Here is a 15530-nt window from a genome sequence, read left to right as displayed (position 1 = left end):
AGCTCATTTCCTTTCCTATCCTTCTCTTTTCTATCACATTTCTTCATAACACTAAATGGAGTGTAAATGAAACATAGAAACTATGTCAAGGTAAGAAAAGCTCTACCACTGAAGATTAAGGAAACCAGGAGAGCATGGCGCCACTTTCTCTAGTCTCTCTGAATAGCTGATCAGTTCGCTCTGCTTGTGGATATGTGAGTGTCTTAAAAAAAAAAAAAAAAGACAGCCTTTTGCCCTCCTGTACGTTTCCATTTCCAAGTTTTATTTTCTCATGTAAATGTTTAAAGCAGTACTAAAAGAAAAAGATTTTAATTAATGATTGGAAAGCTCAGTCTGTTTCTCATCATCTTCAAATAGGTTTTTTTAATGCAATGATCATAAAATGTACATACCGAAACAAAAGATCAATATTTCAAAATTCGTGATTATGAACCATTCCTATTCTTATTCCTTTGAATCACATGCATAACATTTAGGTTTGGCTCTATTTATTCTTGTGTCTTTTCCTGGGGGGGGAAAAATCAGTGCAACCAGGGAAGGTGTGGAAAAGAATCCTAACCAGAGCTGTTTAAACTAAGTCCTTTGACATTTCCCCTAGCCTATAGTGATCTCATGGTGTCCTTCCTTACAACCAGGTCTAAAGCTAAAGAGATTTTTGCATTCACTTTCAAAACTGGGTTGCAGTTGCCAAATAAAAAGACGCCCCTCCACCCACAAGCCTGAGCTGTACAGAGCTACAGAACGTTTGTTCTGTCAAGGCTGTCAAGAAATATTTGGATTCAAGTCACCAGTCCCCTACAAATGATGGAAATTTATCAAATGATGTAAATGCTGCCGTGCCTCATTTGACTTATAATTCGATTATGCTGACATTTTAATGTGCATGCACAGGACATCTTAATAAAGACGTATTCCTGAAAAAAAAAGCTGTGATTTTAAACAAATGAAGATGATCATAGGATACTACGGCCACGTGAAACAGAACATGACAGGTACATGCTGTGATAGGAAACACCTCCTATCTTCATGAGATCTCAAGATGAGCTGGGAATGGAGCAGGACAGAGACAGGAAGATTCTCCCACCCAGCAGGCTGGCAGCGCCTCTGATTTCAGAGCATTAGGCTCAGTGCCCAGAGGTGGCAACTCCAGGCTCCACATCAATCAACAAGAATATATGAAACACTCGCTATGTGTCTAGAACTCTGCAAGGCACTCCACAAGAGAAGTTATGAAAAATAACCTCTGCTCATTAGAAGCTTACAATGAAGTTGAGGACACAAACAAACACACAACACATAGAAAAACGATTTCTGAACAAGGCTCCATTACACAACACAGCAAATAATATCAATATTTTAATGTGTGAAATTGTGCAGTAAAAATAACTAAATACTGAGAGTTTCTCAACTTCCATGTGAAAATTCATATTCAATCAAGACAATATTATGTGTTAAGTACCTTTACATTATCAAAATTTCATTAATCCTTGCTGGAGAACTCTGTGCAAAAAAAAAAAGAATTATTTCCCCACTAACTTAATTCCATATAAGCTTAAACTTACATATATAAAAGTATAACTCTGCCCAAAAAATCCCTAAAAAAGTTTTAATCAATGGGCCTTCTGGATCTTCATATTAATTATTTAAACATTGACCCTAAGTCATTACTACCAATTCCCAGAAAAGAACAAAAATCTCCCCAACTTCCATCTCTACCAAAGATTTTTAGACAAACGTGACTATTCTGTATGTGATAATAGTCTCTGTTGATAACAGACTTCTTGATGTCCCCACTACTTGCAATTTTGAAAATTGAAAACAAAAGAAAATACCTTTCCATAGTGGGACAAGCCGTGCTATGTTTTACTTCTCTTTTCTCTGTCTTTTTCCCGAGAATCTCATAAAGGAAGGACTTGAATTTGTTTTACAGTCACAACAGGAATGGCTTGAATGTTCTTGTTTGTATGCTAATATTCCTAATGCTGGACTACATATGCCATTTCTAACCTTGGAGAAAAGTAGTTCTAAGGGCCCTTAGTGTTTTCTCCCCCTCATCTCCTCCTGCCCTTCTTTCTCTATGTGTGACTGCATCCTTGCGTCCACCACTTATTTCTGATTTGATAGGAAATCTTCTATTACTGGTCTAGTTACTTATAAGACTATCTAGGGTGACTACACATGGAAGTTTCCTGGACAATCCTTGTCTGTGCTGTCCTGGCGTGATTATCAATAGTTCACTTTTCACCACCCTAGACTCTCATCATTTGAATGATAAATTATAAAATTTTCCTTTTTTATATACTCTATTCAAGGAATAATCATCATTACTGTTCAAGAAAAGCATATCTCTAAATGTACACATTATGAATAAAAAGTGTAATACCTACTCAGATAAATAATTTTTTCAAGCTAATTTATTTGGCTGATACAATGTTTGCCTATACATATTTTATCCCTAATTTGAGGTAAAGGCTTATTAGTGACTTGTGTTAGTAGCCAAACTCCCAGTAAACTCCTTCCAAACCCAGAAAGTTAGACATATGTACAAATCTAGTGCATGGCAAATGAAGTAGAAAAAAATAGGTAGTAAGGTTTCCCACATTTAAGTACTATGCCATGGAGTCTTCTTTCTTAATATAGAAAATAAGTCAGGTTCAACATCACAATAATCACCAAACTGAAAGTTAGTTAATCTCATCTGTCTTCTTCTTCTGGGAAAGATTATAGTTAGATAACTACAGCTAGATACTGGTACTAAAAAGAGGAACTGTGATAGGCAAGGCAGTATAAGGTGCTTCCCAAAGAAAATGAATGTTGCTCACTTTGGAATCTTATGAAATTCAGTCTTGATCATTCTGATGGGTGTGTTGATACAGGATAGAGGGCCTTGTCCTGTTGCTTCACTTTTCTTTAAGCTAGTCTTACTCTAAGGGCTTGTCTTATCATTCAGCTCATGGGGACATTTCTTGGGCCTGTTCCACACTGCAGCCTTGAAAGCTGGAGCAATAAGCAGATACAACCAGGAATGGAAAAGAAAAATTCTTATTTCCTGAAACTCTTCCCTCAGGGTTCTGTCCCTTGGTTTAAACCCAAGTTGAATTATGACTGAAGTTGTTCAAACTTTTTTCTCTTCACATTGAACTTTGGTTATTATAAGTAAACAATTTATGAGGTACACCATGTCCACACTCCTTTGTGGTAAGACATCACTCAAATGTAGAATCATAAAAATGTCAAGGATCCGTATGGTGTAATGTGCCTTATGGTATAACCTCTTTAGAACAGAAATTTCTCTGAAATGTCTTCAAAAGAGCTCACACAATCAATTTTCCTTTCCAGAATTAGAATAATAAGCGATGAGTATCATAGCAAAGGTAGCAATCAAAAGTGATCACACGCCAGTTCAAGAGTATAATGGAGAAGCAAACTGTTTTTTAGTACTATATATGAAATGAAATTATCATTTGTGGCAGATCAAAAACGGACAGTTATGTTTTTCACATCTATGGCTGTTGTCCTGCTCTTTTGTTGTTCTTTGATTATTGAATTCTTTCGTTGTTCAGTATTGTAATACACATGTAATTCATGGCTGATCACAAACGGGTGGTTGTATTTCTAAACTACCAGGTTTTCTGCTGCTCTTTCCTTGTTATTAGTGAGCAAGAGTTGTAGTTTGCACTGTCTCCCATCCTAACAGCAGAGCCACTTGAAAGGATGGGGTACTGTAATCGTATTATTCACCACAGAACACCGCTTGAATCTCTAAATGAAAAGTGATGGGGGAAGCCGCATCATATATGGTAGTATCTGTCTAGGGTGCTCAAAACCAGAGCTCTGAAGCCTGTGGAAATCTTTCAGCTCAAGCCTTCCTGACTCCAAGTCTCCTTTTCCCACGTAATTAAATACCCAGTTGAGCCAAGCTGGAAATATCAAAAAGTTTCACAAAGGTTTAAATAAATTCATGGATGCCATAGCTACAGGCAGCTATTAGGTGATCATGAAAGGCCATCATGCCTTCCCAGAAAACACCCTCACATGTGAACACTGTGCTAGATCAAGCCCCAGCCTGATTTGCTTGAACACTGCTGGTGTCCGATGGCATTAAAGTACCCCCCACGTATGTTCTCTGGAACACAATCTTACTTTAGTGAAATATTAAAATAAGGTGATAAATAAATGTTAAAACACTTTTACCAGTGACTCTAGCATTAGAAAAATAAAAGGATAGAAAAAGATGTAACAATGTTATCATTTTAAATGTCCTCAATTGTACTGAGAGATTTTCTGCAACCTTTTCTCATGGGAAAAGCATTATTGTTATCCTTAGTATAATGTATGTTATGATTTGATCTGTGAAAAAAATTTGCCTTTCAGCTGGATTTTCTAATATATCACATTGTGCATTACTTTGCCGTTATATTGATATGAAGATCAGTAAATCCGGTTAAGCTGTGTCTGCCATTTTAATATGTAGATTTTAATTAATTTGGAAATCTAATTTTAAAAAGGTATCCTCAGATAGCTTTCTAAGAAACTGTGGTAACGTTTATATTTCCAACAAGTTCCTTTTGAAACAGGAAATTACCATGGTATGAGCTAAGTAATATAGAGATAGCAAAATAAAAGTTGTGGTAGGACACATATTTTTCCCATGTATTTTAGAAATTAGATCCAATCCTAGAGCTGATAAATTTATTTCATTTAGTAATTTAAAACTAAAAGATCCTGGAATTAAGGGATAAAGGCAGGGGGAGGAGTAAAAAGTAAACTCTAAAAATCAGCTCTTGATTGAAAGTTATTTAATATATCAAAGCATTTTGTTGGTTGCACAAGTTGACAATGTAACCCAATGTATATTCATGAATTAATATGAGACCATCAGGGCTATAGAGTTTAAGTGCTAGATGGCAAGTAGGTCCTCGTGAGAGTATAACATAAAATGTCAGTTTTATACCTAATGGAAGCGTTTCGAAGGTAGCAGTCTTCCATCCCTCATACAGACAAAAGGACATTTCTCAAGTCATAATCCTAAGCAGCCACACCAAACATGAAAGTTCTTAAAAAATAACAATTGTGCCAGAAAGCTAATTTGCCTTTACTGGGAAAACACAGCTTACCTGGCAGGAATGATTGTTATGCTCTCCATGAGCCAACTGGCTCTTTATTTGAAACAAAACTCAATGAAAAAGCAACCAGACTTTGGTCTTATTTTAATTTTTAAAATTTAAGGATAAAATACTCATTTTTTTGGTATTATGTGAGCCTTATATGGTACAACTATCTTATAAAATTATGTCATCTTAAAACATTCAGAATGGGGGAGGTTCTATTGTACTATATTCTTATTCTCTGCCTTTCAAAACTGTAAGTTGCCTCCTCTGTAAATGCTCTTAAGGAATAATCGCATATGATTGATGATTATATATCATAAATATATAATTTTATAGACCAAAATAATAATAATGGTATGAAATTTCTTCCAAGCAACAACTAATTTACATATTGAAGCCTAAATGTGTGGGAGGAGTGGTTCTTGCAAGAATATCTTACAGTTCTTCTACCTACAATGTGAATTTATGTTTTAGAGACGTTTAGTAATGTTTAGTTAATTTTTATCTGTAATTCCTTACATGATTCTAAAGCAAAACAATATGGTAAACTTAACATGAAATTCATCACAGGGGCAAAAATATCCTGCCATTCTCTCAGATAGAAGTAACTCAGCATATCTTAACGTAGATCTTTAGCTTCTTGAGTATTTCTTGACCAGAGGTTTGCATACATGTGTCTTCTGCCCATCTCTTATTAAACCCAGTTGTGTGGTTTAGGAAATTCTCTACTGACAGAACCATGAAGGAATAGGAAGAATTTCTGGAGATATTAGGAAAAAATGTATAGCATGTTCAGAAAAGAGTGTATTATTTATTCATAATAATACTAAAATGAAATAAGAAAGTGTTTTATTGGATAATGCATTCTAATTAAGTTTAAAACTTAGATATAATAAGTATGTTTTCGAAAAAGGATCTTGAAGAGTTTCTTGTGAGATAGTATAGAATACCTTATGCAAGTCACTTAGCATTTTGGGTCTTAACCATCTGTGGAATGAAAGGTGCCTTGCATCTCTGTCACTCTATTAATGCCTCTATGATAGTAAGACCAGGGATTTAGAAGGCAGAATGAAAATCAAGGGACAATTTAATTATGTTCTTCTTCACATTTAGCAGTTCCAGATAAAGACATGGTGAAAGTCTGCATTTCTCAAACATGCAGTAAGGAGTTGCACATCTCCACCATGTAGAGTAGGAGGAAGCATGTCAATCAATTGGAGCCTTGCCTACCCCTGAAAAATGTTCATGTATGAGAGCAACATGTCTCCCAATACTTCCAGAACCCAGTATGCAACCAGGTTGTTCTAGGTTCTAGAATTCTAAATGTGGGCTATGCCTACATTTTAAAGGTGTTTTACACTCACTTTTTTGAATTTTTATGTTATTAGAAGTAGCATAGATTATATCATAATTCTTATAAAGGATCTCTATTGCTAAAATAAACCAATTTAACTCAACTACTTATACATAATTTCAACTACCCAGATAATTGGAAATATCAATATATTTGGACTAGTGTACATAAATCAATACAATCATTGATTGGATTTTCCACTTTTCATTTCAACGTTTTATGACACAAAATTATAACCTAATTTTAAAGGACCTATATTTTCTGTATACCTTTCAGGTTCTAGATTGACTTTACTTTCAAATAAGTATTCTTATAATGAAAATCAAAACTTAATATTTAGAAATGGTAATCTTATTCCACCCTGATCTAAAAAGAAATTCAGATTTTTCTATTTTGGATGCATGTAAAAGAAACATATTTACATACATGCTCATACGTAAAGCAGGGTAAATTTGTCCACTAACTTGGATCTTAGAGGAAAAAAAAAGTCTTAAACATAAGTATGAGATTGTGGTTGGGGGAGTTATGATAGCAACAAAAAGAAAGTAAAGATGAATTTTAAAATGCCATAAATGAATTTCAACTTTAATTCCCCATTTTCCCATCCAGAACAAGTGCCACCCAGGACCAGTTTTCGAATGGATTCCTCTGGCAAGTATTGTTCAGTACTCACAGTTCTGTGAACAAAACGTCTTCCATTTTGTGTAACAAATCATTCTTCTGATAGTATCAGTTTCCTAGTATATAATCGCTGTGCTACTTTAGTCACCTACATAAAACATGTATTCAAGGTAGACAGCAAGTCTCATCATGGTGAGCCTAAATGCCTGCCAACAAAAGACAAAGGAAAACAGTCATATTCATGAATTTCTTTCATAAAATACTCTAGTAAAAGGCTGGATTAAAAACAGCTGCCAAAGAGAGCCATCAGACTGACTAGGTCCGTGCTGTGTAATACAGTAGCCACTAGCTACATGTGGCTATTGAGCACTTGAAATGTGGCTGTTCTAAAGTTAGATATGCTGTAATATATGTGTAAAATCCACACTGGATTTCAAAGACAGTACCCAAACAAAAAAGAAAGATTTCATTAATTATTTTATATTGATTTATGTTGAAACAATATTTTGCATATACTAAGTTAAACAAAATATATTATGAAAATTTATTTCATCTGTTTTGTTTTCTAAAATGTGGCTACTAGAAAATGTTAAATTACTTATGTGGCTTACATTTTATTTGCATTGAATAACACTAGACTAGATACAAATAAGAAGCTAGAAGGTCTCAAGAGATTTGCAATTTAGACATTTCCAAAGAACGGATTAGAAATGTTGCTAACATAGAATGAAATTCTTTTCAAATCAAGTAAATATCTATATCAACTTAATTTTTTTAAACCATGCCAATTATAAAATACTATATTTCAATAAGATTTTAAATTAGGCTAAAATATCATATTTTAATTTTAAGAGCTTTCAGTAATACACCAATTAATTTGCTTAAAAGGAAATTTTATTTTTTACTTAACCATTTCGAAAACACTAATTTTGGTTTAGGCTAAAATATTTAACATTATTGTACAAATGTTGGAGGAAAAAGAAGATTTAATTTTTTTTTGCTCTTAGAATTGGTGATGAAAATGCTTTAAACAGCTAATCAGACCACCAGATTGAAAGCCAGAATACTCAAACAATTGCGGAAAATAGTGTTTTATAATAGTAGCACTATTTCAGGGCTGTGGGCTCACAGCACACATCTCCAGAGTGTTTCCATGATGACAGCTCATTATCCATCTCAGCATGTTCTAACACCCCTTGAAGAATATATGTGCCTGAGATCATTTCATTCTGTAAGTTTCCATGTCATTTTTGGGGGGATATGTAGAAAATATGGAAGATATTATTTAGTGTTTTCTCCTAAAATAATGTCTAAAGTATTTGTTTAGCTTTGTCTAAAAATTTTACAGCATGATTATTCCTCTATACTGGCTGCTAAATCTTTGCAATTTTTTTAAAACATTATCTTATGCCCAGAGAGAAAATGGGACCTAGTAATTACAGTTGCAAAATGAAATCAAGATTTAATTTGGAATTTTAAATCTCAGCTTACTGGTCACAAAAAGCACATGTCTTAAAAATCTCAGATTCTGAATGCACTTCATTTAAAAACAAGAGAAGGAGAATGGCCCAGTAGTTTAGATTACTTTGACATATATGCAAAGTAATAGTTTTTACCTTTTTAAAAAATACATTACTTAGAAGACAAAAGTTATAATATAGTTGGGGTATATTACGTTACTGTGCAATTCACATTTTGAAGAAAAGAACCAATCCAAATAGTTGGTTGAATGTCCACACAAGTTATCAGAATATTCTGGAAAATCATGACTGCATTTAAAATAAATATATCTTGCTTGGCGCTGTGGCTCATGCCTATAATCTCAGCATTTGGGAAGCCAAGGTGGGAAAACAGCTTGAGCCCAGGAGTTCAAAACCAACCTAGACAAGATGGCAAGACCTCCATCTCTACAAAAAATTTAAACAGCTGGGCGCTGTGGCGCATGCCTGTAGTCCCAGCTACTTGGGAGACCGAGACAAGACGGGAAAATGGCTTGAACCCAGGAATGTGAGGTGGTAGTGAGCTGTGATCACACCACTGCACTCTAGCTTGGGCAGCAAAGCAAGACCTCATCTCTAATAAAAAATACAAAAATGGCCGATTGCGGTGGTGCATGCCTGCAATCCCAGCACTTTGGGAGGCCGAGTCTGGCAGATCACGAGTTCAAGAGATCGAGACCATCCTGGCCAACATGGTGAAACCCCGTCTCTACTAAAAACACAAAAATTAGCTGGGCGTGGTGGTGCTTGCCTGTAGTCCCAGCTACTCGGGAAGCTGAGGCAGGAGAATCGCTTGAACCTGGGAAGTGGAGGTTGCAGTGAGCCAAGATCACACCACTGCACTCCAGTCTGGCAACAGAGCGAGACTCCATCTCAAAAAAAAAAAAAAAATACAAAAATACAAAAATAAGATAAAATAAGTAGATGCCCCATGTTTTTTGTCACATTTATAAAATGTCTCATCAAATTATGTTATGATTCTGACTCAGATACGTTTATCATAATTATAAGGTATATTATTAACTTTACCTGCATAAGATCCTTAGGTACAGAGGCAAAATTGATAGTAGGAAGTTCTAAATAATACATATTTATGAAACTAAGTGATAACTCCATAGTGGAATAATGCTGTGGTTCATTGGGACTAGGAGACTAGAGAGTGCCTTAAGGCAACTAAGTTCAGGTAATGTTTATTTAGCAACTCCTACAGACTGTGCATAATGGAACACTATAGATGGCCAATGATAATTATGCCATCACCTAAGGAGAATATTAGTGAGAAACAATGGAATCTATGGCCAGGAACTTTGAATGGGCAACTCCACCCAAAAATAAGAGAGCCAGGAAATGGGGTGTCACAGAAACGACTTCCAAAGGAGATCTTTCCTTGTTTAGGATCAAAAGAAATCTGAAGTCATAAACAGTGCATCAACGATATCAAATAAGGCACTGAAATCAATCAGTATGAGGAAAGAAAAAGAGGCCATTTAATTTGGTCACTAGCATGCATAGTGACCTTAAAGAGTGCAGTAGTGCTAAGAGAGAGCATAAACCAGACTGGCAGGAATGAATCAGAGGTAGAATGAAGGCTCCCCTAGAGACTACTTTTCCTAGAAAGAGATGGAAGGAAGGAGCAAAGTCATATTTAGGATGGAAAAATCTGAGCTCATGTGAAGGCTGAGGAGAGAACCAAATAGAAACTGGGAGATGGCTTCTACTATGGCTAACACGTGCTTGGTCACATTCACATACCCACAGGGATAAAGCAAACAACTAAAGAGAAGGGATATTTTAAAGGATGGAGTATTAGCTACTTACTAGGTAATGTTAGATTTGAGCAACAGAAACTATATAATTCCTGTTTAACTCTTTCTATATCTGGAGTGCATAGAAATCCAGAAGTCAAGACCATGTTTAATAACCTTTTTTGATTCCTGATATCTTCCTCATGCTAACTTTCCTAGATCTCTTTACAAGGAAAAGCCCAAAAAGTGATGCTCTTTCCAGCAGGAAAAATTGAATAAATGTATCCTCTGTGCCAAACTGTGATGATAAGCCATGGTACTTATGTTTTAATTAAAACATGAAAGGGGATTCAAGTACCAAATTTTAATTGACATGTTTACAGCAGCATCCCATATGCCAAATTAATTCATAAAAATGTTGTTCTTTGCATTTCTGAAGATTGAATCCATTCATAAAATTAATCAGTTGTGTTCAGTTACCCAGCCTTTTCCCTAACTGTGCACAGAGCTACTTCTTTCAAAAGCAAGACTAAGGAAACATACAGCATGTGAAGCCCCTAGAGTCTTCATGTGAAGTAGGAATCAACTTTTGAAATCTGCTTTTCTTTATTATGAGAGAGGTTGTCCTGATACCTGGATGTGCTCACCATTTGCTACTTTTTAAAGTTCGTTTTTGCAATATTGGTGTGAGCCCAGAATAAATTAAGACTTCTAAATTTCATTTCAGTAACTTGCCACAGTGGTCATGTAAAATTCCATCTAGGAAGAGGATCATGAGATGCTTTGTTCCATAATGCCTGAGGATCCGAGGACCCAACTTCTAAGAAGCAACACTAGCCACAGCTGGCCACTGAACACTAATATCCAAAGAATGCTTTGTGTCCTCTTAGTCCATTTCTTTACAACCACTGCCTCCTCTTGAGCTGCATTAAGCGACACCTGAGAGTGTCTCTGACAGTTCTGCAAAAAGTGCTGAGGAAAAAGAAGATTTTTTTAAAAAGAGCACAGAAAAAATAAAGAAGGGAACAGAAGAGTAAAAGGATGGGGCACAGTTAAACAACATGCAAAGCAACTCAGGTCCAAATAGGTGTCTACCAGACACCCTCATCTAACAACCTCCCTGGTGCATAGTTTCTTGAAACAAGAGAAAGGAATAGTGATTGTTAACTCTGTTGCAGTGAGGTAAAGAGATGGCCCTTGGATTTCTTCACTTTAAGTTCTTGCATTAATAAGGAAAGAGACAAAACCTGATACAGTAATTGAAACATGTCGTCGGGCCAGAAGAGCAACTAGGGGAAAGTCAGAAACATCACAATCTGCGAAGAGAGCTAACAAAGCAGGAAGGAAAAAGAATGATGTCTCCCAGCTTTGTACATATAATTTTAGTTATTTTGTAAAGCCAGACTCCAAGGAAAAAAAGAAACCAAAGAAAAATTATCTTCCTAAAATGTTCTTATTTTCCCTAAAAAAAAAAAAAAAAAAAAAAAAAATACTGCTGCCTCAAGGCACAATCTATCATATGAACTTTTTTTCCAGTTGACTATTTCTGTAAAATAGTCCAGACCCTGCAGCCTCTGAATCTGTGTTCAAAATTAACAAAGAAATAAAAAATAAATCACATCTACCAGCATTCTTCTCTAAGGGGTCTCTCTTTGCCTCTGTTTCCTGCTCATGAACCATGAAGCTGGCCACCCCTGCTGGGAAGAATGGAAGAGTGAAGATGAAATAAATGGCTGGCACATACCACCCTATGTTTGAAATCAGGGTGGGTCAGAGCAACAGGATCGGTATTGTCACCAAAATGTGCAAGAAGAGCAGGAAGAGGAGAAAAAATGCCTTATTCGTGTCTCTGTTCTTCAGAGTTCAATAAAATTTACTTGCTAAAATCTAGATTTTTCTCCTAAAAAGAAGTCATAAGTTATTCATTAAAGAAAAGCCCCTTAATTCCTCCAGGAATCACAGATTCTCTGACAAAAGACAAACTTCTTGTGCCTTGACACCTCTGAAAGTTCCATTCCTGAGATGGTCATAATTTCGGCATTTCTTTAGGGGAAAAGTTTTACGTAGCAAATAAGATGGATCACACAATAAAGGTCTTGTAAAGCTCCTTGTGCAATATGGATGGGTGCTGAAGTCACTGGAAGAACAAGTTCCCACTTAGCATATTCAGTGGTGATGCAAAAGTGAGAAGAATACAGGAGATGAAAAGTTCTAGTTAAACATATGCTGGCTCTATCATTTTAAGTGTCACAAATACAGCACCTTCTATTTGTATTTTTAATGTGTATGTGGTCTAGAGTTCCTCCCAGCTTAAAGTGACTTACAGAAGAGATTGCCATGAGCAGTTGTATTATCCTCAACTTGTAGAAGTTTGAACAGTGATTGAGCAATATCTGTCATCTCCGATCTCCCCTTGTCTTTCTCCTTCTCTTGGGAGGAGTACAGATACCTGCTATGATTTTGTAGAGCTCTACTCCATCTGCCTCCAGACTCCCAAAGGCTTAGCACACACCCCAATATGTGATTTCATATATGATATACAGACTTCAGAAGAAACTGAGTTCAAAAGCCGGTTGTGTCTCATAGAATGTAAGGCAAAATTTTCATCTTTCCTCTGCCACCACCTCTATTTAATAGGAATGGAATTTTTTAAGTTCTCCCATCTTTAAAATATGACTGATTATATAATTTCTAAAGGATGTGGAGGTCTAACTGGTTATTCTTCTTGCAGAGTTTAATATTATTCATTGAATGGAAAAGGTCTTGGTCATGTGTGCATTTGGTCATAAAAGGGTATGAATGCTCATTGAATCTTGTACAATGCATATAAACATATGTACTTAAGCGCCTGATTCATCTTTATTTAAAAGAGCACCAGATAAATAATCGGCATTTGCCCACGTCTCAGAAGTGAATGATGCCTTTCATATATCCCTGGGAATAGCCCAGGTTGTTGGGCACCAAGGCAAGCCTGTATAATTGTGCTTTGTACACTGTATCACTCCAGCAGTCCCACCTACTGCAGAGCCTGGAAAATATTTGCCTGGCCAGCATTCAATGAGCCTCTCTCTACAACGAGTGCTACTGTATAATCATGTGGCTCAGACATAGATTTTTGTCCCATGAGAATTCTCTGAAATCTCGTCTTAATTTCTACAACTATCCTGTTTAAGCAAGGGGAATTTTACTTAATACCTGCTTCTATCAGTTCTAATACCTCCTTTAAACCATTCAGGTCCAGAAACCACTAAACATTTCTTAAGCAAGAGACAGCATAATAAATAGTTCTTTAAATTGCTGATCATCTGCTGGCACCCCAGCAGTGGACATGAAAGTATGCGCAGCTTGGTCACAACTGAAGTATTTCCCCCTGAGGAAGGTGCCAAGGGGCAAGGGGACAGGCTAAGCATAAATCAGATTCTACTTAAAAAGTCAAAACTTTTTATATTTAATAGTTTTAGTTTCTTCTAAGGCTGAAAAAATGACATTCAGGAGAGTTTTTCATCTTATTTTGAAATACAACTGTGTTCTTTCAGCTGACTTCAGAAAAGTATCTTCTATTTATTTTGAGTACTCTCATGAAGTCAAAAGTCAATCTATGGCTTGCACATTCTAAAATGTTTCGGTGATAAAAGTCCACCTTAGACCCAGATGAATTTCTACCTGTAAGTTATAAAAACCCTAAAGGAGTTTGTCAGAAAATAAATGCTTCTTGAACCTCAATACAAGAAAGTTTAAATTCTATATCTTCTAATTTTTGCAATTTTAAAAGAGACAACTTCTATTGGGCATACGTTTATACCCTACACACACACACACACACACACACACACTCCTAAACTGGATGCATCATGTCATAAACAGATATTAATAAATTACCAGGCAGTGCTTTACTGGACAGTTCCAGGGTTTTGCCATCTGTTCTCTCTTACTTGCGCAATAATTGTTCTAATCAGAGTAAACATCCTCAAAGTGACAGTCTAGCTTCTTGAGGGCAATCTGAATGCTCTCAGGAAAATCAAGAATTATAAAGGCATCAATTTTTTTACTCAGAAAATTCATGTACTCTTTCTGCTTCTGGTAATACCTCAGTAGTGCCCTCGGCTAGTCACTATTATTCCAGGGACAACCTACATTTGGAACACCTACTTTTTTGCTGCCATATTTTTTGTATCCTCTATGGTTTCCATTGACCCTAACAGCACTCTCATTAATCGCATCCACAAAATTAATTTATCATTGGTATGTTCAGTTCCTCAGGGGCTGGGAAAGAGGCAGGATTCATTACTCAATGGGATCTCCTTTATGCCAGGTCCAGATTATAAGGAATTGGATGTTCATCTTCGGAGGATGGAGTCTGGATTTGGCTTCAGAATCCTCGGGGGAGATGAGCCTGGACAGCCTGTAAGTTGAATCTTCTTTATTTCCATGCTTGGGGCTGTATTGTATGAGTAAACACCAGGGAAAATAGTGTTTAGTGTGATATCTAAAAGGAAATGTTTTAGGACTCTCATAAAGAAGTTTAAGCTTTGGATTTTTTTTTTCCTTGCTGTTTTCTTTAAAAAGATCTCACGACATGCAGTTATCTCCACGACAAATATCTCTTTAGAAATCACATTCAATAGGGACATTGCTCTTTTTTTAGAATCGATTGAATTCCTCTTGAGTATTTTCGTTATCTAATTGCACTGAACCCCTGGTATCTTTGGGTAACAGTTTATGAGTAGAGGTAACACCCACCTGGGAACAGCAGAATTATGTATGTTTTTAACCAAAACAGCAAAGGAGATAAAACACAGGGATAAACAGAAATAAAATCAAGCTCAGCACTGCAGAATCTCAGCCAGATTTGAATTAAGGGATTACCAGAAGGTGTTCATAAAGTCAACTGCAGTTGGCCTAATATATATTGGGAAATCTAGAAGGGCTTTGTAGAACACTTTGTGTGTGTGTATGTGTGTGTGTGTCTGTGTGTGTGTGTGTGTGTGTGTGTGTGCGCGTATTCACAGTGAAACATAAAATACTAGTAGTCACTAATACACAGAAAACACAGCAAGGCTAGATTTATGAGCATATGTTAAAATATAAGCTATAAAACACTCATTGTAAAAGATGTGTCTTAAATGGTACCCAATGTGACTAAGTTAGGTCCACGAAAGTTTTGAATAAGTGAAGGGCCTGAGCAGTGCAGTCAGCTATC

General features: G+C 36.1%; 1 protein-coding gene and 1 long non-coding RNA gene across 16 annotated transcripts in view; one reads left to right on the top strand and one right to left on the bottom strand.

The window, feature by feature from the left end:
- Positions 1 to 7559, bottom strand: part of LOC124901684 (uncharacterized) — a 30058-nt gene extending 22499 nt beyond the window's left edge. The window contains exon 1 of the long non-coding RNA XR_007060400.1: positions 7139 to 7559. This is a non-coding gene — a long non-coding RNA (uncharacterized LOC124901684). The remainder of the gene's footprint in view (positions 1 to 7138) is intronic.
- The window catches only part of MAGI2 (membrane associated guanylate kinase, WW and PDZ domain containing 2), a 1436613-nt gene that overhangs the window by 1260923 nt on the left and 160160 nt on the right, over positions 1 to 15530 (top strand). For 11 of the 15 annotated variants that reach the window (XM_047421093.1, XM_017012845.3, NM_012301.4 and 8 more), the window contains 2 exons: positions 7075 to 7116; positions 14643 to 14734. In XM_047421093.1, coding sequence (XP_047277049.1) covers positions 7075 to 7116; positions 14643 to 14734 — 134 coding nt within the window. The remainder of the gene's footprint in view (positions 1 to 7074; positions 7117 to 14642; positions 14735 to 15530) is intronic. The other 4 variants (NM_001301128.2, XM_017012846.3, XM_047421092.1 and 1 more) reach the window with 1 other exon arrangement.

The sequence above is a fragment of the Homo sapiens genome, chromosome 7 (genome assembly GCF_000001405.40).
Source record: "Homo sapiens chromosome 7, GRCh38.p14 Primary Assembly".
NCBI lineage: Eukaryota > Metazoa > Chordata > Mammalia > Primates > Hominidae > Homo > Homo sapiens.
Note: the sequence above shows the minus strand (reverse complement) of the source record. Positions and strands in the feature narration are given on the sequence as shown.